The sequence below is a fragment of the Homo sapiens genome, chromosome 18 (genome assembly GCF_000001405.40).
Source record: "Homo sapiens chromosome 18, GRCh38.p14 Primary Assembly".
NCBI classification, from domain to species: domain Eukaryota; kingdom Metazoa; phylum Chordata; class Mammalia; order Primates; family Hominidae; genus Homo; species Homo sapiens.
In genome coordinates this window covers 22,925,360-22,950,696 of record NC_000018.10, presented here as the reverse complement: position 1 = coordinate 22,950,696, position 25,337 = coordinate 22,925,360, and the positions used below count along the sequence as shown (strand labels likewise).

The 25,337-nt window shown below is 37.9% G+C and overlaps 1 protein-coding gene, 1 long non-coding RNA gene and 1 other non-coding gene across 16 annotated transcripts in view, besides 5 other annotated features; 1 reads left to right on the top strand and 2 right to left on the bottom strand.

Annotated features, from left to right (window-relative positions):
* Positions 1-25,337, bottom strand: part of RBBP8 (RB binding protein 8, endonuclease) — a 112,348-nt gene that overhangs the window by 75,790 nt on the left and 11,221 nt on the right. For 3 of the 14 annotated variants that reach the window (XM_047437728.1, XM_006722519.3, XM_006722520.3), the window contains 4 exons: positions 21,260-21,314; positions 13,737-13,943; positions 4,211-4,253; positions 984-1,079 (listed from right to left, as the gene is read on the bottom strand). In XM_047437728.1, the coding sequence (XP_047293684.1) occupies positions 984-1,079; positions 4,211-4,253; positions 13,737-13,845 (248 nt within the window). In that variant the 5' untranslated portion in view covers positions 13,846-13,943; positions 21,260-21,314. Of the gene's footprint in view, positions 1-983; positions 1,080-4,210; positions 4,254-13,736; positions 13,944-16,432; positions 17,370-21,259; positions 21,315-25,337 lie in introns of those variants that run through there. The other 11 variants (XM_006722521.3, XM_047437729.1, NM_002894.3 and 8 more) reach the window with 7 other exon arrangements.
* Positions 16,576-16,625: an enhancer, noted in NCBI's record as "active region_13142". NCBI's record gives its function as "activates an Ori minimal core promoter by ATAC-STARR-seq in GM12878 lymphoblastoid cells {active_cell/tissue: GM12878}" and the evidence as "EXISTENCE:reporter gene assay evidence [ECO:0000049][PMID:35858748]".
* Positions 16,799-17,639: an enhancer, noted in NCBI's record as "H3K27ac hESC enhancer chr18:20513021-20513861 (GRCh37/hg19 assembly coordinates)". NCBI's record gives its function as "activates a minimal SCP1, AML or CMV promoter by ChIP-STARR-seq in naive and primed H9 embryonic stem cells {active_cell/tissue: H9 hESC(naive and primed)}" and the evidence as "EXISTENCE:reporter gene assay evidence [ECO:0000049][PMID:30033119]".
* The window catches only part of RBBP8-AS1 (RBBP8 antisense RNA 1), a 210,274-nt gene continuing 201,869 nt past the window's right edge, over positions 16,933-25,337 (top strand). Inside the window, exon 1 of the long non-coding RNA NR_198963.1 lies at positions 16,933-17,109. This is a non-coding gene — a long non-coding RNA (RBBP8 antisense RNA 1). The remainder of the gene's footprint in view (positions 17,110-25,337) is intronic.
* Positions 16,986-17,115: an enhancer, noted in NCBI's record as "active region_13141". NCBI's record gives its function as "activates an Ori minimal core promoter by ATAC-STARR-seq in GM12878 lymphoblastoid cells {active_cell/tissue: GM12878}" and the evidence as "EXISTENCE:reporter gene assay evidence [ECO:0000049][PMID:35858748]".
* Positions 17,246-17,325: a silencer, noted in NCBI's record as "silent region_9346". NCBI's record gives its function as "represses an Ori minimal core promoter by ATAC-STARR-seq in GM12878 lymphoblastoid cells {active_cell/tissue: GM12878}" and the evidence as "EXISTENCE:reporter gene assay evidence [ECO:0000049][PMID:35858748]".
* On the bottom strand, positions 17,259-17,348 carry MIR4741 (microRNA 4741). Its single transcript, NR_039895.1, has one exon. It is a non-coding gene; the product is annotated as a microRNA 4741 (primary transcript).
* Positions 20,974-21,023: an enhancer, noted in NCBI's record as "active region_13140". NCBI's record gives its function as "activates an Ori minimal core promoter by ATAC-STARR-seq in GM12878 lymphoblastoid cells {active_cell/tissue: GM12878}" and the evidence as "EXISTENCE:reporter gene assay evidence [ECO:0000049][PMID:35858748]".

The window sequence follows — 25,337 nt, the reverse complement described above, 5'->3', positions numbered from 1 at the left end:
ATCTTCTTGCCTTGGCTTCCCAAAGAACTGAGGTTACAGGCATGAGCCACTATGCCTACCCTGGAAAAATAAAAACTATAAAGAAAGTATGGGATATCGTGGGTTTGTATTTTTTTTTTTTTTTTGGAGACACGGTCTTGCTCTGTCACCCAGGCTGGAGCGCAGCAGTGCGATCATAGCTCACTGCAGCCTCAATCACTTTGGACTCAAGCGATCCTCTAGAGTAGCTGAAACTACAGGTTCAGGCCATCATGCTCAGCTTTTAAAATTTTTTGTAGAGACAGGGTCTCGCTTTGTTTGTCCAGGCTGGTCTTGAATGTCTGGCCTCAGGCGATCCTCCCACCTTAGCCTCCCAAAGTATTGAGATTACAGGTGTGAGCCACCACGCTTGGCTGGAATATTGTTTACTATAGCAGGTAGGTAGTTTATAGGTCCTAAATAGCACTTACAATTCAGAAAAGGGAAAACAGCAAATGCTGGAAGCCTTTTCTAATCCTCAGTGTTAACCTCATAGGAGTGGGAAAGAAAGAAGTCTGTGTATGGAAGTAAGTGATAATATTATTTCAGGAATACTCAGAAAGAAGATCCCTAGACTCCCTCAAAGTGAGGAAATCTGCAAAGAAGAAAAGAGAACAGCAAGAACAAGAAAAGACGACAGAAACAGAATTGTGAAGCAGTTTCCACCTACTTAGAAGTAAAACTGGAATTAAAGCATTAAATGAATTAGAACATTGCTACCCTTGAGCTTCCACTACATCAAACACCAGATAAAGATATCATTTAAAGGGTAAACTGATGTGATCTCAGAATTAATGAAAATCTTAAAGAATAGATCCTTGTTTTCATAAAGTATTCATTCAAAGGTGAGAGAAGGCTGTGGGAAAGATCACTTTCAATCCCAAAACTAATTACAAATGAAAGTCAATGTACTTCTTATTATGGAGGAAATCACTTCTTACTCAAGACCTAAGTGCCAGACTCACCGATCTTCTAAAACTTTAATGGTTTCATGAAGGACTTTCTGCTGTTCCCTCAGCTGTTGATTTTTGGTGAAGAATTCTTCTAGTCTTTGTGCATCTCTAAAGGTCAAAAAATAAATAAGTTTTTCAGATAAAAATACTCTTAACAGGATAATTCTAAGAGCTCCACCGTGTTTATATAACAAATTTCTTGTACCAAAACAAAACAACTGAAAAGGTCAGGTTGGAATATCTTGTAAATCACAGTTCAAATTATACCAGAATTTTCTCTGCAGAGCTCTTATATACCATAAAGTCATCATGCCACTATTGACTCAACTTTGTCAAAATAGCTATCAAAATGTACATTATTTTATTATTTTGCATATATTTATTAATGTAAATAGTATTTCTCTACTCACATCATCTCTTCAATTATGGGGAACTCATACTTTCTATTTTACTAATTTCTGTGTTGTTTAAAATTTTTACCTGGTCTTGCTTTTAAGTCAGAGCTTACAGTGAAGTGGACGAACGGGAACCCTACGCCCAGATGCAAAATGGGTTTGAGTCCAGCTCTTCATTTACCAGCTGTGTGACCTGATACAATTAACCTAAACTCTCTGTGCCTCACCAAGTGTAGATACATTAATATCTACTCCAAAAGGTCTGAGAAATAAGTATTAATGTATGTATTGGATACGGAACAGTGTGGCACACAGTAGGCTTTATGTTAAGTGTTTACCATTATGACTTTATAGTGAGAAAAAAAACTAACAAAGACAACCAGAATCTTCTTCTACTTAAACCTGATTACCTTCCAAAGTTGTCATATTTTACCCCTCTATCATTATTTTTAAAAATCACCTTATTATATAAAGTATTCACATATTTTAATTCTAAGAAAACCCATTAGAAATTTGATTAGGATTTTCTGTATAGTCTTGAAGCTGAAAATGTAATACTATGATTCAAACACCTTCTCCCAGTCCCTTGAAGGGTCTAAAATATCAAATCAATTAAGAGTGGCAAATCAGTCTGTCATAAAAAGTAGATGTCAAAATGATTGTGTCAAAGTGGCTAGAATATAGTGTCACTGGCACCAAAATAGATGAGTAAAACAACTAAGCCAAAATGTCAGGTATCAAATATAGAGGGAATTTCTTAAATATTTGTTGAAAAGTTTATATTAATTGAAAAACCAATACACGTAAGAGCAACACCTTCTGGCTATACAACAAATATAGTTATGGTAGCATGTAGGGACATCTGAGAACTTGAAAATAACAGAAAGTAATATATCATTGAAGCTTGTTAACCTGGCCATTTCTCATTTAACAAAAATAAATAAATAAATAAATAAATAAAATATTTCCTACTACTTCTAGAAAATATATTTAATTCAGAAGGAACACCAGGTTTTCACTGATCCTATTCAGCAAATACAACCAGATAACTTGTCTAAGCCTGGAGGTGTGATTAATCATGTCCTAAAACAGACTGCCAACATGTATTCAAATTTAATATTTAACTTAATCTGTATCATAAAATACAGTAAATATTACATTGAAAATTTACACACATTTGCCTTAAATAATCTGTATCATAAAATACAGTAAATATTAAATTGAAGATTTACACACACATTGAAGATTTACACACATATACATTTTCACTCTTAAGGAGTGAAAAGTTAATAGCAAAGGGTTTTTTCTTAAATGATGAACAGAACTCTGTAATAGTAGTGAGTTATCTGATTTTCCCATATTCATATATTCCATTACTGTTCTATTTAGAATAACGCAGAGCATGACAGTATTTGTCTTAAAGCTAAACTATTATGTAGATGAATAACCTAAGTTGAAGTTAAAACTAACTTCAATTACTTAATAAAATATTCAGGTCAAGAAAGTGGTAACATAAAGAGCATTTACTAATTGCAGAAATAATTTAACAAGGTCTTTAAAAAAGCAAATTGATGAATTCCAGACAGTGCAAAAAGAGTCATGCAATTTCAAAAACAGGGAAGTGTCTAATATATTAAAGACAGGTCTACCCTGGACCTCATCCAAAGGAAGAGTTATTACTACACCAATCACTAACTTCATTTCTAAAGCAAGCTCAATGCCATTAGCAGCATTTTACTAAAAACTCAGTATCATTTTCCTAATTGGTGGCCTTCTGTCTTTCTAAGGTAACTGAACATTTTAAATACAACTGGCATAAGAAGCTGGGTAAATCTTGTATTTGAAAATGTAACTGTAATAAAATAGATAACAAACCTTCCTGTCTCTTTTACATACCTATGCAGCACATTCAACAATTTTTTCATTACTTTTAAATCAAATGTCATATATGGGGGCTGGGGTGGGGGGATCTATAGGGAGGGATAGGAACTACTATGAATAAAATGGACAAAACATTATGTTCGAGTTATACCCTCTACAAAGAAACTTTGTGATAAGGAATCAAAAGCATGAAAACAGTGCTGCACAACTGGAAAATTTTTTTTGTCTTTACAATTCTTTAAATTTCTTAATTAAAATAATTTTAAAAGAAAACAAGAGTTTATCTGAAGGTGAATAGTCTATATTCCAGAATTTCTAAATTTCTCAGCAGCTAAAGAGAATTTTCTTAGTAAGTGTTACAAAGCTACTCTGCCATCTGTTTCAGATTCCTGAATGTGGAAGCTCTAGAGAATCATGAGTAAAATATGTTCCCGAACTTAAAAAATCAGATCTGATTTAGAACTTTATAAGCAAAACAATTCAGAGAATCTTCAAGTAATTTCAAACTACCTAAAAGGAGTCTTAAAATACCCATTTAGTTTCCATTCATATGAGTTTAGAAATCCCAGAATTATTCTGCTCCTCGTCTTGTAGCATGTTGAATTCCATGTGTTAATTATGGCTCAACAAAGAACTCCGCTGACAAATCAAAATGAGACTACAGATCAATTGTCATTTTAATACTTTATGGGAAAAGATTACATATGTAAGTTGTATTACAATATAAACATACATAATTAAGGCTACACTTAAAATTGCAAAATTATTCTTTTTACTTTAGAATTTGAAAAAAAAAACTGCTGCTGACTACCAAGGCCCATACTAAGTAGGGCTAATTTTTTTTATAAATAAGACATTAAGGTCAAATTGGACATCAGTATCAACTACTCTATGAATGTCAAATTGGACATCAGTATCAACTACTCTATAAATAACACATGAGTATTACATACTGATACTTACAAGATTCGTTCCTGTTTTAGCTTGGTTACTTTTACTTGTAAACCTGAAAAGTAAAAAGAAAAGGTATTACTTCTACAACAGTTCCTTTATGAGTCAAATGCTCCACTATTAAGTCACATCAGTCTGGCCTCTAAATAATAAACCAGGTCTCATTAGTTTACAGTATATGCCCCTTACGTGTACTCTGCAGTCACAAAAGCATATCTGCAATGTATTGCTTTTAGTCTATCATATGACAGTCAAATGGAATAACATTTTCCCCATCTAAAGTAAGTTATTACTTTTCTAATAGCAGGGCAAGCATATAATTAGAAGTTCACTGTAAATGAAGGTCTATGTTCTGACATAGCCTGTGTATTTGCTAACAGCAATGGTGTTTATGTAGGCACAAATCTTCTGGGATTAAACTAGACTGTGGTAGGAAGTCCTGGACTAGTAGCAAAATTCCTTATGGAAAAGTACCTAACAAAAGGCATGAATGTTTTATCTCAAGATATCTATTACATGAATTTTTAATTTTAATTAAGTCTGATACAAAACATAAGAGAAGACCACTGCCTATGGACTCAGGTAATTACTGAGAAGAAAGCAGACTGACAGGCATTGAAACTGCAAGGAAGGATATGGACAAAACAGGGTGACATTTCTAATTTTCATGAACAGTAATTAACAAAAGAAAAAAGTCACTGAACAAATATGAAAATACATACATCATCAGCAACTAAATATAAGTCAAACCAAAACAACTAGCAAAATTGTAAAAATTATAAAACCCAATATTGATTTAAAAATGTTATTTAATCGGCTGGGCACGGTGATTCATGCCTGTAATACCAGCACCTTGGGAGGCCAAGGTGGGCAGATCACCCGAGGTCAAGAGTTCCGAGACCAGCCCGATCAACGTGGAGAAACCCCGTCTCTAATAAAAAGACAAAATTAGCCGGGTGTGGTGGCACATGCTTGTAACCCTAGCTACTCGGGAGGCTGGGGAGAATCGCTTGAACCCGGGAGGCAGAGGCTGCGGTGAGCTGAGATCCCGCCATTGCACTCCAGCGTGGGCAACAAGAGCGAAACTCCGTCTGAAAAAATAAAATAAAATAAAATAAAACAAAACAAAATAAAATAAAATGAAGTTATTTAATCAAATATTAAAATAGTAAAAAACTAGAAAATTTTTTCTGTTGAATATTGCTGTGCCCTCTATTTTCTCTATGCTCCCCATTTTCTGCAATGTGATTAACATAAAGGGGAAAAAAGCCCTCAATATTTACTCTTTAATTTCTCAATCAGTGCTTTTACTATTCTACAATTTACCCAATTATAGATCTACTCAAGAATTTTTATTTGGTGGCAGTTAGTTACCAATAAATAATTACTAGTTGACTGATTTCCGAAGAACCCAAGAATATTTACTATATGCCTTTGGTAGTTCACAGATTCTATCAAGTTATAAATCAGAAAAGTTTTTCATATATGTGTATAGAAACATTAATATATTTATCATTCCTAAGAACATAATTTTTCTTTATTTGTTAAACTTGATACAATCTTTTGGACAACATAATTTAGACAAATACAAATTTTAAAAACAAACCTATACATTTCCCAACCATGGTCACATAGACACTAAAGAAGAAGTCATCTCTTCTTATTGCCCTCCATAGTAATGATTTATTGCCAGGAAATCCATATACTGTGGAAAAATAAAGGCCCTGGAGAATTTTTTGGATGTTACATTTTTTCCTTATGTCTCAAATTTCACCTTTAGAAAATGTCCAACTGATATGACACATTTTATCTTCGATTCTATGCTCTATAATTTGAATAAATAAAATGTTATAAATAAGATGGTGAAAAAAATGTTACAGATAAACCTGTATTGAATGTTCACAGCAGTCTTAGCCAAACATTAGAAACAACCCAAACATCCTTCAATAAGTGAGTTGTTTAAAAAACCAAAACCTGTGGTGCATCCATGCACATGTTTTCCCTTCTCAAAAATGTGCGAAATTTTACTTGACAGATTTTTTTTTTGTTTTTAATTTTGGCTGACTTCTAACAATCAGTTCTGCCTTTAAAAGTGAAAAGTGCAGCCAAAGATGAAATGGATTCTTGCCACAAACCATTTTAAGAAAAGAAACAATGAGACAGAAAATCCATATAAACTTCAAAAGAAAATCCTTGGGAAACAGGGGAAGAACTACTCTTTTATCTGGTAAGCATTCAACACCTGTGAGGCATTTGTTCTGTCACGTAGATCACCCTGAAACAGGTTTATATGTGTATATGTGTGTGTGTTTAAATTTTAGCATTTGCTATTCACCAAGTCAATTAGGAATCTACAATTAGAACCCCTATAAAGTGTGCTTTAATCCTGCTCCACACCCATCGGAAGGAATGAGGCTATACAACAATGTAGCTCCTGTATGAACAGGTAATCTGTTGAACAAAGTATCTGGGATTGTAACACTGGCAACCTAAGATACCTATTGAGGAAACAGTGTTCACAAGACCAAGCACTGTGCTACAATTAACCTTACACACACTCATACATAAATTTTGGAGGAAATGAAACAATCAAGGGCCTGTATATTGTAATACACAAAGCAAATTTAAGAGTTCAGAAATGAGGCAAGAATTCCTTATGCATTAACAAAAATCACTGCTATGTTCTTATTTTAGTTCTTTACCCAGACCAAACCATATATATATATAAAATGTATGTACTGTCATTTTAAACAAGTTATTTATGGTTCTGAATTATAAATAATACCCCTAACATCACTTTCTTGACAAACAGTGGGGGCTTTATATACAAATGAAGTAATTAAACTTCAACCAAAACTACTACTGCTAGCATTTCTATAATTGCCTAACAAATTATTTAAATTCCAAAGCCATACTTAAGCTGTGCTCACTTTGCTTAAGATTGAATTATCTCAAAATGGGTAAATTAATTTTTGTGGATTTTATTATTTACAGATGTGAATGCAAATAAAAAATAAAAGGTGTGAGAGTTACTGATAATAATAATAATATTATTATTATTTTTGAGACAGGATTTCTGTCACCCAGGCTGGGGTGCAGTGGTGCAATCACGGCTCACTGTAGCCTTGACTTACCAGGCCCAAGCGATCCTCCTGCCTCAACCTCTCAAGTAGCTGGGACCACAGGCACACACCACCATGCCTAGCTAATTAAAAAAATGTTTTTTGTAGAGACAGGGTCTCGCTTTGTTGTCCAGGCTGGTCTCAGACTCCCGGACTCAAGTAATCCTCCTGCCTTGGCCTCCCAAGTGTGTGCCACTGTGCCCAGCCTGACAGCATTCTTAATAATGAGTGGGACAATTCCTTTCACTGTTAATTTGTGCAGTCTTAAGATAATGTTCTCTTTTTAGAATTTTTGATTCTATGTATAGAAAATAAATGGAGCAATTAAAAAATGAATCAAGAAATATTTATCCTGTCCTATTAGAGCCCCCAAACTTTCCCATTTCTTCAAGGTGTTTCAACTTTGCCTCACAAAACCTACCTAGTTTTCTTTGAAACTGATTACCATATTTACTAGACACAGAAAATATATTAGCTAGATGTTAATAGCAGACGCTGGCATAGGCAAAAGATCATTTATTAAAATAGTGGTATTCTGAAAATAAATATTTTAAATTCTATTTTATTATTTGTGCTTTTGATAATAAACTTGATACTGAAAAAGATTTTTAAAGGCAATAAAATTTTGTACCCAAATAAATATGCTTTAAAACTTTTGAAATTTAAAGAATTCTGAAGTTTCCATTAAATTCTGTGAGTTCGGAATTTAAAGCATAAACACTGTATATCATCAGTAACAATCTGTGACACTGATACTAGCAGCATTTGTCACAAAAGGAACATATCATGAAATGATACAATCATGAAAGGATAAAATTATCTTAAAGGATATAAAAACTCGGTCATAAATGTCTCCAGAATTTTTCAACAAAAATGGTCTGGTTTGCATATTGCTAGTCTCCAACAGAAATTAGAGCATTTTGTCTATTCTTGCCTAGTTTTAAAAGACATGGATGCAGTTTATTATATTGTTGTGATCAGTGCACATACTGTCATATTTTGCTATCATTTTATTATGTTTTGGCAAAAGAGGCAAAAATAATTCTAAACACGTGTAGCAGAGCATTCAGATTCAAGCAAGTTCCTATGGGTACATTTCTGTAGCTAAGTAAAAACTATATATCTCAAATATTACCATTCCCAACATTTCTCTTTTATTTTTTACTGACATGAAGCTTTAAAAGTCATGAGTCAATTTTGATTCCTATATATACCTTAAAACCTGCAAAGTCCAGACAAGTCCATGTTTGATGTCTTTCAAACAGCTTCTTACACTGGTTTCTACAAATGGATTCCCCACCTCCTTAAAAAAATTAAGTTCCCTTCAGGCATGTCTTTGATGTTATCATATAGAGACTCTAATTTTATATGGAACTATGTGGAACATATTGACGAAGGCATGGCCCAAACCAAAATGTTTTAAAATGACATATCTACTTAAAAAATAGTACTTATTCATTTAATACCTTTAAGAATCCATAAGTTATTTGAAATTGGGAAAGTGGCATGATCAATATAACGTACCAAAGATTATCTTCTCTTATGAGCTCATATATCCAATACCTAATATTCATAAAACACATGGACCTTATCATATACACCAACAATTACTGTATTCCTCCCTTAAAGTTATTCAGAGTATAGAAACTTTTGTGGGAATGTGATTAGAACATAACCATGAGGAGTACACTTTAAAGGAATTATCTACTACATAATATTTGCAAGCTTTATATATTCTATAATTTGATAAATATGGCATATTGTTCCTATTAAAGAGTATACCATTTGTTTCTTGATGCTTCCTCACTGTAAAATAGGGATTTCATGAAGATCCTGTAACACCAAAGAATAGGAAGAAGAAATCTGTCAAATATTTTATTTCTATTAAATTAATAGCTTATAAATAGCCAGGCACAGTGGCTCCTGCCTGTAATCCTAGCACTTTGGGAGGCCGAGATGGGCGGCTTGCTTGAGGTCAGCAATTCAAGACCAGCCTGGCCAACATGGTGAAACCTCATCTCTACTAAAAATACAAAAATTAGCCAGGAGTGGTGGTGCGTGCCTGTAGTCCCAGCTACTTGCGGGGCTGAGCCAGGAGAACTGCTTCAACCTGGGAGGCAGAGGTTGCAGTGAGCTGCGATCATGCCACTGCACTCCAGCCTGGGTGACAGAGTGAGACTCTGTTTCAAAACATAAAAAACAAAAATAGAAATCAAGAGTTTCAAGAAAGTTGCAGAATATAAAATCAACTCACTAAAACCAGTTGTATTTCTATACACTAACAATGAACAATCTGAAAAGCAAATTAAAAAAACAATTCTATTTACAGTAGCATCAAAAGAATAAAATACTTAAGAATACATTTCACCAAGGAGACAAAAAACTTGTACAATGACAATCAGAAAATGTTGCTGAAAGAAATTATAGAATGACCAGGTGTGGTGGCTCACACCTGTAATCCTAGCACTTTTGGAGGCCAATGAGGTCAGAGGACTGCTTGAGCCCAGGAGTTGAGACTAGCCTGGGCAACAAAATGAGATCCCTGTCTCTATAAAAAAATAAATTAGCCAGGTTCGGTGGTGCATGCCTGTAGTCCTAGCTACTCTGAAGGTGGAAGCGGAAGGATTGCCTGCACCCTGGAATTTGAGGCTACGGCGAACCATGATTGTGCCACTGCACTCAAGCCTGGGCAATGAGGCAAGACCTCATCTCTAAAAATTAGTAATTAAAAATTAAAAAATCTTAAAAAGAAATATAGACCGGGCGCAGTGGCTCACGCCTGTAATCCCAGCACTTTGGGAGGCTGAGGCGGGCGGATCACGAGGTCGGGAGATCGACACCATCCTGGCTAACACAGTGAAACCCCGTCTCTACTAAAAATACAAAAAATTAGCCGGGCGTGGTGGCGGGTGCTTGTAGTCCCAGCTAGTCAGGAGGCTGAGGCAGGAGAATGGCATGAATCCAGGAGGTGGAGCTTGCAGTGAGCCGAGATCGCGCCACTGCACTCCAGCCTGGGCTACAGAGCAAGACTCTGTCTCAAAAAAAAAAAAAAAAAAGAAATATAGAAGACACTAATAGAAAGGTATCCCGTGTTCATGGACTACAAAACAATATTGTTAAGATGTCAATACTATATAAAGCAATCTACAGATTCAATGCATTACCTATCAAAATCCCAAATCCCAAAATCCCAACATTTTTTGCAGAAATAGAGAAATCTGTCCTAAAGTCAAGGCAAGATGACAATCTCTTCAGCATAGCACATACCATTTTACATAATTTGGATCTATGTACATTTCTAGCATCATATCCTATCCACCTCCCCCAAAACTCCAATCTCCCATTCCATTTCCTCTTAGAACTAAACCTAACTATCCAGAGTTCCTTGAATAAAATCAAGCTCTTATCTGCAAACTTTTGCATGTGCTATTCTCTCTACTCAGAAAATTCCCTCCCCTTCCACCATCTTCCTTGCCTGGCTAATTAGACTTAATTATCAAGCCTGGTCTGACATAAACCATGCACAAACCCACTTCCCCATGCAACCACACACACCCTCAGTTCTTCCTTCATGTTTTCAGATAATAACATAGTATACTGCATTAAAATTCTAGACTAGAAATTCCCTTAAAGCTAGCACTATATAGGATTTATTCTTATTCACAAGGTCTGGCACATAGTAAGTGCCCAAAAAACATTTCTTGAACATTTCTTTGTGTCTCCATGAACACTGGGGCTTGAAAGAATACTTTTGGGGTTGTTCATATTTCAAAACTCATTAATTAATAAGGGTGTCACCAGAAGTTTTGCAAGAAACTAAACTTACCATGGGAAAGTTCTTTTTTTTTTTGAGACGGAGTTTCGCTCTTGTTGCCCAGGGTGGAGTGCAATAGCGTGATCTCAGCTCACTGCAACCTCCGCCTCCTGGGTTCAAACGATTCTCCTGGGTTCAAGCGATTCTCCTGCCTCAGCCTTCCTGAGTAGCGGGGATTACAGGTGCGCACCACCACACCCGGCTAATTTTGTATTTTTAGTAGAGACAGGGTTTCTCTATGTTGGTCAGGCTGGTCTCGAACTCCTGACCTCAGGTGATCCGCCCACCTTGGCCTCCCAAAGCACTGGGATTACAGGCGTGAGCCACCGTGCCCAGCCTACCATAAGAAAGTTCTAATACAGACTCACATACTACACTTTAGATTCAGGTTGATTATGTTTTAATAGTACTCCAGTGTAATGATACAGCTATAAAGCACTGCAATATTAAACTTATAATAGGTAATCAAGAAACAAATGTAATATGAAGCATTTCTCATACATAGGGACATAGGGAAAGTTACAGAATTAAAGTATATTAAAATTTAATATTAAAACCTTGAGCTTAGCTTCATATGGTGTATCTTTTAACACAAATAATATTTACTCATCTCAACCACAATTGCTTAATCCTCTAAAACTCCTTGCACGTCATAAAAACCTTTTAACTGTTATTTCACTGTACTGTAATTATCTGTTTACACGACTCTACTAAGACTGCAGGCTGTCTGAAGGTAAGTGGCCATTCACTTTTGTATTTCAGTGCTACGGGTTTGTCAAATGACTTTATGTAGTATTTTTATGTCTATATCCTGCAAAGAATTTTATAGAAGAAAATTAAATTTAGAGGTTAGGTAATTAGGCTAAGATCACAGAGCAAGTGGGTAAATGAAATCAGAATTCAAATGCAGGTCTTCAGTCAACAAATTGTATACGTTTTCCACTATCTCATACATATTACCACAAGTAAATAACAGCAAGTTGTATACAAACTATGTTCTGTGGTTAAAAAGCACCAATTTGACCATAAAAATGAATCACAAAAACTACAATTGTAAATGTCCTCTAAAAATGAGATCTGGCTGGGCGCAGCTCACGCCTGTAATCCTAGCTGTTTGGGAGGCCAAGGCGGGAGATCACCTGAACTCAGGAGTTTGAGACCAGCCTGGGCAACATAGCGAAACCCTGACTCCACAAAAAATACAAAAACTAGCTAGGTGTTCTAAGGTGAAGGATAAGTTTAAAAAAAACAAAAACAAAAACAAACTAGCTGGGCATGGTGCGTGCGCCTGTAGTCCCAACTACTTGGGAGGATGAGGTGGGACAATCACTTGGGCCCGAGAGTTTGACACTATAGTGAGCCATGTTTGCACCACTGCACTCCAGCATGGGTGACAAAGCAAGACCCTGTCTCAAAAAGAAAAAGAAAAAAAGATCAGCTGGGCACAGCAGCGGACACCTGTAATCCTAGCACTTTGGGAGGCTGAGGCCAGTGGACTGCTTGAGCCCAGAAGTTCAAGACCAGCCTGGGCAAAAAGGCAAAACTCTGTCTCTACAAAAAATACATAAAATTAGCTGGGCGTGGTGGTGCACACCTGTAGTCCCAGGTACCCAGGAGGCTAAGGTGGGAGGAACACCTGAGCCTGGGAGGTTAAAGCTGCAGTGAGCTGTGACCATACCACTGCACTCCAGCCTGGGCAACGGAGTGAGAACCTCTCTGAAAATTAATTAGTAAATAAATAAATACATGAATATATAAATAAATAAATAAATAATGAGATCTTTGGGCCAGGCGCAGTGGCTCACGTCTGTAATCCCACCACTTTGGGAGGCAGAGACAGAAGGATCACTTGAGGCCAGGAGTTCAAGACCAGCCTGGGCAACATAGTGAGACCCTGACTCTACAAAAAATAAAAAATTAGCCAGGCATGGCAGCGTGTGCCTATGGTCCCAACTACAGGAGGGAGGCTCACTTGAGAATGGGAGGTTGAAGCTGCAGTGAGCTGTGATCACACCACTACACCCCAGCCTGGTGACACAGTGAGACCCTGTCTCAAAAAAAATAAAAAAAAAAAAAAGATATCTTTGAATTTAAAGATGGCCATTAAATGTACAAAATTCAACAGTGGACTGAATTAAAAAAAAGTATATATACATCATGGAATACAATGAAGCCATAAAAAAGAACAAAATTATTTTCTTTGCAGCAACATGGATGCAGATGAAGCCATTACCCTGAGCAGACAACAGAAATACTGCATGTTCTCATTTATAAGTGGGAGCTACACATTTAGTACACATGGACACAAAGAGGGGAACAACAGGTACTGGGACCTACATGAGGGTGGAGGGTCAGGGGGGTGGGAAGAGGGTGGGGATTGAAAAACTACCTATGGGGTACCATGCTCACTACCTGGGTGATGAAATCATTTGCACACCAAACCCCAGCAACATGCAATCTATCCATGTACCAAATCTGCACATGTACCCCCGGAACCTAAAAGCTGAAATAGAAATAATAAACAGGACTGTCATACAAAGGTATACAAAGCCACTACAGTCTCAACAAAATACTGCTGTAAGTATTTAAGAAAAGATTTTACCTTGTACTTCTCTATCATGACATTCTTTTAGTTTTGTCCAAAGGTCCTTAAAGTCACTAGATGTATCTGCAGAGTTAGGGCTTCCACAGCTGCTTCCCGAGATGTTCATCTTGCTTAATATGCTCCACACTTCTACTTGCTTAATATTTTCTGACCTTTTCTGTTACATTATAGAGGTATCAAGTCGTCTTTGGACAGGTCAAATACCTGAAATGACAGATTGCAACATAAATGAACTTTGCATTTATCTTTATGTACTTTGAAATCAGGATGAAACACAAGCCCAGATATCCTCATTTACCATTTCCTTATTTACCTATAATCAATCATTTTTAGAATTTGGGAGGGGAAGGAAAGAATAAGGAAAGATGATAATGGTGAGAAAAGTTCTGATTTCAGTTATTTGGCTATATGAGGTAAATTTTCAGGCAAATTTTCTTATTTCTCTTAGAGGAAGAAATTATCTCAATTATATTAAACAGAAAGGATTCAGATATTGAGGGGTTTTTATCATTCATGGTCAGTATTAATTTACCACTATAGACTAATGTATTGTTTTGGCTGGGGGAGATGGCTCTTGCCTGTAATCCTAGCTCTTTGGGAGGCTGAGGTGGGCAGATCACTTGAGGCCAGGAGTTTGAGATCAGCCTGGCCACCATGGTGAAACCCCATCTTTACTAAAAATACAAAAATTTGCCAGGTGTGGTAGTGCGTGCCTGTGGCCCCAGCTACTCAGGAGGTTGAGGCAGGAGAATTGCCTGAAACTGGGAGGCGGAATTTGCAGTGAGCGGAGATCGTGCCACTGCATTCCAGCCTGAGCGACAGAGACCCTGTCTCAATTAAAAAAAAAAATTGGTTTTTTTAACTTTTGAATTGGTGAAACATACTGAGCCCAAAACTGAAAAATATTCTTAGTCTTGACTTAACAAGCATCCACATATATACACATATCTATATATATTTTATAAAAGAGACAGTTGACTGATGTATTAACACAGATGAGGATCTGTATAACTTTCCAAAAACAAGAGAAGTCAGTAAGATTTAAACACAGCAAAGATCTATGAATACAGAAACATCTTAGAGTCATAAGACAATTAGGGTAATGTTACTTCATGCCTCTCTTAGAATAAAGGTGAATCATTAAGTTTATTACATAGTCCTTGAAGAAACCAACAGGTTAAGAAGTTTGAATGGATTAGTAAATATTTTAATATGTGTTCTTAAAATGAAACCATTAATTAGCTACAACTTAAAAAGTAATAGTGATCAGCAAGTCTACTAAACCTCACATCTGGCTCCTTAGCCAAAGCAAACTGATTGTTTCCTGCTAACCATTTCCTGAGGTCTCTGACAAAGGGGCTGAAAGAGTAATTCTGAAGGGAGCAGGAGTATATGTGAAGCCACTTGGTGAACCGTCAAGAGCTACAAAAATAAACTATCAAGCTTTGCAAAAATTGTGATTAGACTTTTAAAAAATAATCCAGAAACTAAATATGAGCTGGATTTTAGATATTAGGAAATTATTAATTTTCTTGGGTATGATAATGATGCGGTTTTGTTTGTTTTTTTTTTAGAAAGGCCTTATCTGTTAAAGGGATATTTACCGAGATATTTACAGGTAAAGGGATATACTCTGCGATTTGCTTGAAAAAAAAAAAATCCAGCAAAAACAAACAAAAATGGATGTTGGGTGAAGAGATGAAACAAGGGCTGAACTTCAACAATTTCTGAAGCTGGGTGGGTGCGTATACAATGGGGTTCATAATTCCAGTATTTCTCTTGTGTACATTTATTTCTGTAAAAAAGTTTTTAAAAGTAGAATTAGGTGCACTGCATTAGTTTTGTTACCAAAGAGGTTTTTATTCTATCTTTAACTCTAACAGATAAACAAATGGGCCTATATATAATTGTGAATAAAAGTCACCATTTGTTTCCCACATACCAGAAACTATAGAATATTAATATTAATATTTGTATTTATATATTATTTAATATATAATTATATATTATAGAATATTTATATTCTACCTAACCTTCAGAAAAACTCTGTAAGACAGCTACTATAATTTCATTTTAGAGTTGGGGGAAGAGGCGTAAGGCAGTAAATGTCCAAGGTCACACAGCTGGGACATGGCTATGTCAGGGATGGAAATCAAGTCATGAGACCAATAACTGTAAAATACCTCTCTGTAGCCCGCATGTTCTCAATCATAGGTGGGAACTGAACAATGAGAACACCTGGACACAGGAAGGGGAACGTCACACACCGGGGCCTGCCGTGGGGTGGGGGGAGGGATAGGATTAGGAGATATACCTAAAGTAAATGACGAGTTAATGGGTGCAGCACACCAACATGGCACATGTATGCATATGTAACAAACCTGCACGTCGTGCATATGTACCCTAGAACTTAAAGTATAAAAAATAATAATAAAATAAAGAAAAAATACCTCTCTGCAGCAAAAAGAAAAAAAAAGAAGACATAAACGATTTCTATTAAGTCAACAGTTTAAAATGAAGGTTTAATTACTTCAATGACCGAAAAAGTATTAACATATTCGTTTAAAGAGTGTAAAATAAGCATCCTTTACGTATCTATCTTCAAGTAAGTGATGTACAGTGCCTTAAAAACAAAACATAAAAACAAAACATTCAACTTGCAAATTCTGGCTCGCAAAACCCTTTCCACCTACCCGCATGCCCGGCACTTTTTGTTAGCATCTCTCTCTGCAATGAACCGTTATTCGAGGCACGACGACAATGTACATTTTTCAATCTCTCAGAACGTCACGTCTTACCTCCCAAGTTGCATTCTGGGCTCAAAGGCCTGTAATTTGTGTGTATTCCTTAGTATAAACCACTACACTGCAGGTGCTCACCAAAATACTCGCTGCCACACCACAGGTATTCTCACACGGGTAAGGCGAGAGGCACATTTCATCACACAGGGGACTTGAACAAACTGCACGGGACATTTCAGGGGTCCTCTTATGGGCGGAGCAGAGCAGCGGGGCAAAGGCTTTCCAGCCAGGTCCCTTCTCCATCCATTTCTCCCCAGGTGCCCGCGCCGGTTCCGCGTGCGGGTCTGGCCAAAAAACCTCCGAAGCGCGCGCGCGAGCCGCAGTCGGCGCATGCGCGGGGCGGGCTTGGCGGCGAAAGGCGCTTCCTCAGCCCGCGCGGGAGACCCAGAAGTAGTACTGAGGTAGCGCTCGTCCTCCCGCCGGTCCACCACCACCGAGTGTAGCCCGGGCCCGGCCTATTTCATCAGACACAACCCCAGAGCCGGGAGCCACCCCTACCCCGGGAGCCCTTCGCCAAGCACGCAGCTCCAGACCAGAAGCAGTCGCTCCGACCCAGAGCTCCGGGTGGGGTAAAGAGATTGCTTTTACTCACCGCCTCCGAGATTGCCTCGGGATTCGCGAAAGCCCCCGAAGGGAAGCGAGCACTTTCTGAGGCTGTGAAAGGACGGCTGCTCGCTTTTCTCTTTCGCCCTTTTCCCTCACCAGAGTGCCAAATCCTCGGTGGGAAAGCCGACCCCTCCGGACAGCCCGCGCTTTAAGGCCGGGGGCTGCCGGCCGGGCTCGGAGGCGGCCGGACCCGCCCCGCCCGGGAGCCCGCGCGACGTCACGCGGGAGTTCCACTTGCGTCACGCCCCTTCCTCCAGCTGCCCATCGCGGCGGCGCACTTCGTGCCCTAGCTGAGGAGCGGGCTCTTCGGTGCGGCCCATCCCGGAGGGCGATGGTTGGGGAGGGGAGCGCTACCTCGGAGCTGCCGGGAGCTACCCGAAGAGTCTGGCGACCGCCACAGCATTTCTGAATTGCGCTGGGGAAAGCTCAAGCCGTTCTGTTGGGGGAGCATCAAGCCCTTGCGGTTCTGTGAAAGTTATCTGTACACTGTGTCTAGCTTAAGCATTTTGCAGGGAAGCATGTGTAGAGTGACCTGTACCGAATGAAGAGTTAAAATTAACTGATGGGGGGTATGGACGCGGATCCGTCTAACATAGTTTTCGGCCTTGTCGCTGTTATCTGCAGTTTAGTGATGTGACCTGACAGGGTTGTGCGGTAACGCCATAGATCAAAACGATCTGTATTTTGCTGAGGTTAAACGGGAAGTTTCTGGCAAATTTGAAACGAGAAGGAATCTCCTTCAGCATTATTTATTGGGACAACATGCTGTTAGATAATTTTTTTTAAAAAGTCCATTTTTCTTGTGGCTGTTCGTTTGAGATTCAAACCGATAGTAGGTATTCCTATTTCTCCTGATTTGTAAAAGAATCGTTTTTAGACCACTAGAAATTCTACAAATGAACAAAATAGACTAGAATCAAATATCTTTTAAACCAGTCCAGTACTTTTGTGTAATTATTCTAAGACCTGGGAAGGGATAATATTAACAGGCTTTAAAAGTTTAGTACTTAGAAATCATAAATACAAAGTGGAAAGGTAATTTTTCCACCTGTCCCACATCTTAAGGGATGAATAAATATAACTTAAAAAGTTAGTATACAGAAGAGGGGTGCTAAACCTTCTATTAGCCTGTTACAGCAACTATCATTCACTTCCCCATTTTATAAGACTTAACTCCACATTTTTAAAAGAAAATGGATGAAATTTTGACTATGTAATTTTTAACGCAAGATAGGAAACATAATTGACAGAGTGAAGCTTTTATGTTTATGACAGAAATAACCTGTAATAAGTTTGTCATTTAACAGAGTATTGAAAGAGCAGTGTGCTGTGGTCTCTACTGTGGTCCAAAGAAAAACTGAGCAGAATGACCCAACCTGTTCCTATGGCCTCTGCCTGTGTCTCACTCTCTAATCCATTTATGCAAGTCAGAAACCAAAGAGTCATCCTTGACACTTTATTCATCCCTAACTTCCATATCCAAGCCATCACGCAGTCCAATTTTACTTACTAAACATGTAAATCCATCCCCTTCTCTCCATCACTACCTCCATAATCCAAGATACTGTTATTTCTTACCTAGTCTACTGCTAGGCTCCTTTCCACATCCACGCTACCAACCACCCCTCCTAAATCTTTGTTTTCACTGGTGTTCAGAAAAAAATTTGAACTTCTATTCTCCATATATATATTTAATTTTAAATTACATACATGTACTGTTGAAAAATGGTACATGATCTAATGAAGTTACAGGCTCTGAAGTCAGACATCTGGGTTTAAATCCTGCTCTAATACTTCCTTACTGAGTGACTTTGGACTGACTGCTTAAGCTCGCTGTCCCATTTTACCTACCTGTAAATTGAGGATAATAATAGTACCAACCTCACAGGGTATTAAGATTAAATGAATATATGTAAACTGCTTAGTATTCAGATATATACTATGTGCCCAAAAGCTAGCCATAATTAGTATTTCTTAGCTAATATGATTATAATCCATTTTAAAAGCATTTTTAAAGGATAAAAAATAGAATAAAAATACATCTTCCCTCCTCCACCTTAAATTGTGTCTACTTTGAGACCACTTCTCTATACTGCAGCTACTGTGATCTTGAAAAGTAAATCTGTTAATGTCACTATGCTGCTTAAACCCTTTCAGTGGCTTCCAGTTACTCTGTGAAGGAAGCCCCTTTGAATTGCCTCTGCTACCCCTTTGGCTTTATTTCCAGACATTTTCTGTCCTCTGGTCTCACTAGACTTTTGATGTCTCCTAGGCCATTGCGTGCTATTGTCTCTGCCTGGAGTTCTCCACCAAACCTACCCCCACTCTTTGCCCCAGCTATCTACTAATCATGTTTTTATCTTATTTCAATAGTCTCTTCTACTAGATCCTCCTACAGTACCATGTAACCTCCCCATCTTACAGTTTTTATTGTTTTAGTTATTTAATTAATTCTGTCTCCCCACTGGACTGTAAATTTCTTGAGATAAAAAACCACGTCTTGGGCCAGACTTTGGGTGGCTGAGGCAAGAGGATCACTTGAGGCCAGGAGTTCAAGATGAGCTTGGGCAACATAGTGAAATCTTGTCTCCTATTCTAAAAATCAAACCAAAATAGCTGGACACAGTGGTTCGTGCCTCTAGTTCTAGTTACTGTGGAGGCTGAGGTGGGAGGATTGCTTGAGCCCAGGAGTTCAAGGCTGCAGTGAACTATGATTGTGCCACTGTACTCCAGCCTAGGTGACAGAGCGAGAGACCCTGTCTTAAAATTAAAAAAATAAAAAATAAAAAAGGTTTGTTCACCCTTTTATCTCCAGGAACTAGCCCAGTGTCTGCCACCAAATCAATATTCTATGAATGAATGAAATGGGCATTCCCTGGTGGATCCCATTTCTATGTAAATGGAAACCTTTGGGTACATTCAAAATTCTTAGATTTTTAAATGAGATTTTATATGGCCACTTTAACAATGGAAATGGCGGGCATCCTCATAGATAGGTTCTAAAGCTTTAAGAACCACATGGAATAAATTTTGAGGTTCCAAAGATCTGCTGAAAAAACATCTTTAACAGAGAAGCAGTTATTTTGAACTCTTCATAATACTGGGTTTCTCATATGTTGTGGCTTAGGACAGTACTTCCCAAACTTTTTCAATTTCAGCATGCTTAGAAAATGAACACTTGTGTTATATATTGTAATGAAAAGATGAGGCTGCTTCCATCCAGTGGCAACAGAAGTTGAGACTAGTCACCTCAGGCCCAGTGCTGCCACCTTCAGGGCTAGGTTTTTAATGTCCCAGCACACCTATTGGAGGCCCCTGGCTAGAATGCTGAATTTAAATAAACTAGTGAAATAGTTAAAATGGTAAGTTTACATTATGTATATCTAGGCACCAATTTAAAATAAATTGTGTGATAGCAGTACAGACTCTAGGATTCTTAAAAGTAAAGTTTTGGAACTCACGTAGATTTAAAAGTCATCTAACTCAAGCCATTTACAAATGAAATCCTGTAGATTCTAGAATCTATGCTTAACTCCTGCAGCTGGGTAGTTGAGTGTTGTGAAGGGAAAATGACGTATCACGTTAGACTGATATCACTAAAGTCATATGGTTTCAAACTTCATGCAGGGCATCAGTTAATCCTTAAAATAGCCTTTGTTCAGCTCTTTTTATTTTCTCTGCTGTCTTCCAGACCTTTACTATTTTCAGTCCTCAAGCCTCTGAAGCTATTTTCACTCTAGGTGGACAACCTGGCCTCCTGATTAAACAAGACAATTGAGCTCCACAAGTGTGATCTTCCTAAACTTGCTTTTTTCTTTCTCAACCCTACGAATTAGGCAAAACCATTTGCAGTTAAAAATACAACCTGAGGCCAGATAGGGTGGCTCATATCTGTAACCTCAACGCTGTGGGAGGCCCGCGGGAGGCTCACTTGAGATTTGAGAAACTGCAGTATAGGCTGAATGACAGCCAGAACCTGTCTCTTAAACACACACACATACACACACACACACACACACACACACACCCGCCTGTCTCTTCACACACACACACACACACACACACACACACACACACACACACACCTGCCCAAACAATCCAGTTGCTTCTCACCTTTGTGTCCACCCTGGTTCAAGCTACCATCAACCTCTTCTACGGCAATATCCTCCTTTAAAAAAAAAAAAAAATCTGTTATCCACTCTGTTCTCCATTACAGTATATTCTCCAACAGCAGTCTGAGAGGTTCTTTAAAATCTATCAGAAAATCACACTCCCTGCTTAAAGCATTTCAGGGTCTTCCCATCACCCTAGAATAAAATCCAAACTCCTTTCCATGGTGTCAGGACGAGTCAGGCACTATATTCTGCTGATGATACCTCTTAAATATAATTTTGAATTAGTGCTTTCCTTTCCAACCTCACTTATTGCCCTAGTTGAGGCCCTGATGTTTCTTACCTAGGCAACAGCCTCCCTGCTTCCAGTCTTGTTCACCTTAATTCAGTCTCACAGCTGCCCAACATCTAAACCATTATTTCTGATCCTGGCATTCCTTTGCTTAAAACTCTTCAAAAGACTGTTGCCAGACTGGTGCGGTAGCTTACGCCTATAATCCCTGCACTTTGGGAGGCCGAGGTGGTTGGATCACTTGAGGTCAGGAGTTTGAGACCAGCTTGGCCAACATGGTGAAACCCTGTTTCTACTAAAAATACAAAAATTAGATGGGCATGGTGGCAGGCACCTGTAATCCCAGCTACTCGGGAGGCTGAGGGAGGTGAATCACTTGAACCCAGGAGGCGGAGGTTGTGGTGAGCCAAGATCACACCCCTGCACTCCAGCATGGGCGACAAAGCGAGACTGTGTCTCAAAAAAAAAAAAGAAAAAAAGGCTATTGCCTAAAGGTTAAAAATCAGTTTCTTTAAAATGTCACACAAGCTCTTATCCTTGCACAGTCTCTGCTGTACCCCTTGCTCTTTCCCTCTTTCAACAGGAAACTGCTTTTATTCCTCTCTCCTTCCCTTGGCTGTGTCTTACTCTTGGCTCATACAATGTTTTTCTCTTGGAATTACTTTCACCCCCATTTGTTACACTTCATCTTTCTTATTCTTTTAAGTCTCAGCTCAGGCACTACCTCTTTCAGGCGACTAACCTAACATCTCTCTTCATCCTTCCTTTCTATACCCTTTCACAAATGGCCTTCCTCATTCTCCCATGCCCTCAATATATATCTTTATCATTGCACTTAACACCATTATATTGTAATTATTTTTGTGTTTTTAATCTTCAGCTGGGCTCCTTGATGTCAGACTGTGCTTTCTTTATTCTTCTGTTTTCCTACTTTTTTTTTTTTTTGGAGACAAAGTCTTACTCTGTCCCCCAGGCTGGAGTGCAGTGGCGCGATCTCAGCTTATGATAGCCTTCACCCTCCAGATTCAAGCAATCCTCATGCCTCAGTCTCCCGAGTAGCTGGGATTACAGGCACCTGCCTAGCTAATTATTGTGTCTTTAGTAGAGACGGAGTTTTGCCATGTTGGCCAGGCTAGTCTCAAACTCCTGACCTCAGGTGATCCACCCTCCTCGGCCTCCCAAAGTGCTGGGATTACAGGCATGAGCCACCACGCCCAGCCCTGTTTTCCTGCTTTTTTTTTTTTAATTTTTTGAGACAGAGTCTCACTCTGTTGCCCAGGCTGGAGTGCAGTGGCACAATCTCGACTCACTGCAACCTCTGCCTCCTGGGTTCTTTCCTACTTTTTACTAGAGTCTTAGCACAGAACTATCCCACAGAGCCACATATATAATATTAAATTTTCTAAAAATTACATTTTAAGTAAAAATCAGGTGAAATTAACTTAATATATTTTATTTAACCCAGTTTATCTAAAATATTATTTAAACATGTAATCAATATAAAAATTAATGAGACTTTTTACATTCTTTTTCTTCATACTAAGTCTCTGAAATCTGTTATATATTTTACCTTTACAGCACATCTCAGTTTAGACTAGCCACATTATAAGTTCTCAAGTCTGCATGTGACTAGTGGCTACTGTATCGTACAGCGCAGGCCCAGCATATATAATATAATCAATGAGTGAACAAATGAGGTTGTGTGATTTACTTAAAGAAGCAGGATGGAACTGGGACGTGGGTATCCAATTCTTCGTTTATTTCTGCTATTTGTGCTGGGCATTTCCCATCTCTGTCCTGCTCCCTGCATCATCCCATCCCCCACCCAGCATTAAGTGCCTGTGTCTCCAGGCATAAAATTAAAAAGTAAGTGATTAAATCCTTTATGATTATTTATCTAAAACTCTCTAGTATCTCTGACATGAACACACAATACTGGTAAACTGGGGTGAATTGTTATACCTGCAGTCATAACTATTTTAAGAACACAACAAAGGCTGTTTGAGAGGTGAGGGAAAGAAACTTTAAGACAAAAGAAAAGTATCTTAACTGGCAACATTTGTGTTAACTTGAATGAACACTTGATTCAATTTTTTAAAAGTTGTTTACAGTAATTAGTAAGTGTTGTTTGTGAGTGGGAGTATACATCAATCAGTGATCTTGCCTCAAGTGCCAAAATGTTTTGTTTATGATTTGAGTTGATGGTGCCAAGATTCCAGATTGAGAAGTTTTATAATTGTATAAAAATATATATTTAACATTGGTGGAAGATGTCAGCATCACAGTTTTTATTTTGACAATATTCTAGGTGTTCATTTAAATGCTCATAATGGACATTAAAGAGTATACCTTGCTTTTTAATTAGAAAGATTAGTCTCGTGTAGCCTGGCCAATTTCCAGTTTAGATAAGGAAGCTTTATTTTGATCTTCACTCTAGCTACATTGGACTTCATACCTTCTTCGTTTCCCTTTTTAATCTGTTGAAATAGTTTTCTGTTTGTTTTTAAACATCATTCACCAAGCTGCTTCATTTCCCATCAGTAATGGCCAAAGTTTTACTGGCACATAATTTGCCCGATTTAGGAACTATCTCTTTATACTTGATAAAGAAGGTTAAACAGTATATTCATAGTTGCCCAGGTTTAAATTATAATGGGGTGATGAAGAACGTTGTTGATCTGTTATTTGCAAAATGGTTTCTTTTTTATTTATTTATTTATTTTGATACAGAGTCTTGCTCTTATCCCCCATGCTGGAGTGCAGTGGCACGATCTTGGCTCACTGCAACCTCCGCCTCCCAGGTTCAAGTGATTCTCCTGCCTCAGCATCTTGAGTAGTTAGGATTACAGACATGTGGCACCACGCCTGGCTAATTTTTGTATTTTTAGTAGAGACAGGGTTTCACCATTTTGGCTAGGCTGGTCTGGAACTCCTGACCTCAAGGGATCCACCTGCCTTGGCCTCCCAAAGTGCTGGGGTTACAGGTGTGAGCCACCGCAGCCAGCAAAATGATTTCTTATGAATGGAAAGGGACACCTGTTTCTTCCATGTCATCTATTTATAATGCAGTGGCTGTTTGGACAATATTTCGTATCTATTCATATAAGCTTATGAAGCCCAGGAATTTTGTTAGTTGGTTAGCCCATAAGCCTTTTTTCTAACCCTGGCACTTAAAAGGATCTCAGAACTTAACTGCTGAAAAAATAAGATAATTTAAGAGTGATCACTAAGACTGTAGAGTAAAAAAGTTTATTTTATTTTCAGAATCTCGAAAAACAAATCTTTACCATTTTGTCTATTAAAGTATTATACTGCATTGTACCTATGTATAATGCTACCATGATACAAGCTGTGGGAGTAATATTTATTTACAGCAATGGAAAATATTATGAAGGGCTAACCGTCGGAACAAGTCAGTGACATTTGGATTCTATTAATTAAAGAATTCTTTGATAGGTTCACACAAGCAAACATGTTTAATATTCATTGCTTTGTCCATGTGAAAAAATCATCGCATCTTAAACACTAATTTTTTTCACCTGTGAATTGATGGATTTATTCACTGCCAGCAAATAGTTGTGATCTTTAATGTAATTATGTGCTTCACAGATTACAGATATATCTTTAAACGCACTGTCTTTTTTTGGTCTTTATTCTAATTATGCTTGAGAAAAAAGACTTTGTTTAAAATATTGGCTTTTTGTTTTTTCTAATCCATGTTAATCTAAGTTTAAGGAAGCTTTGATAGTTACTTTTCCAAAGGTAAAATAAAAAATTTAAAAATGTT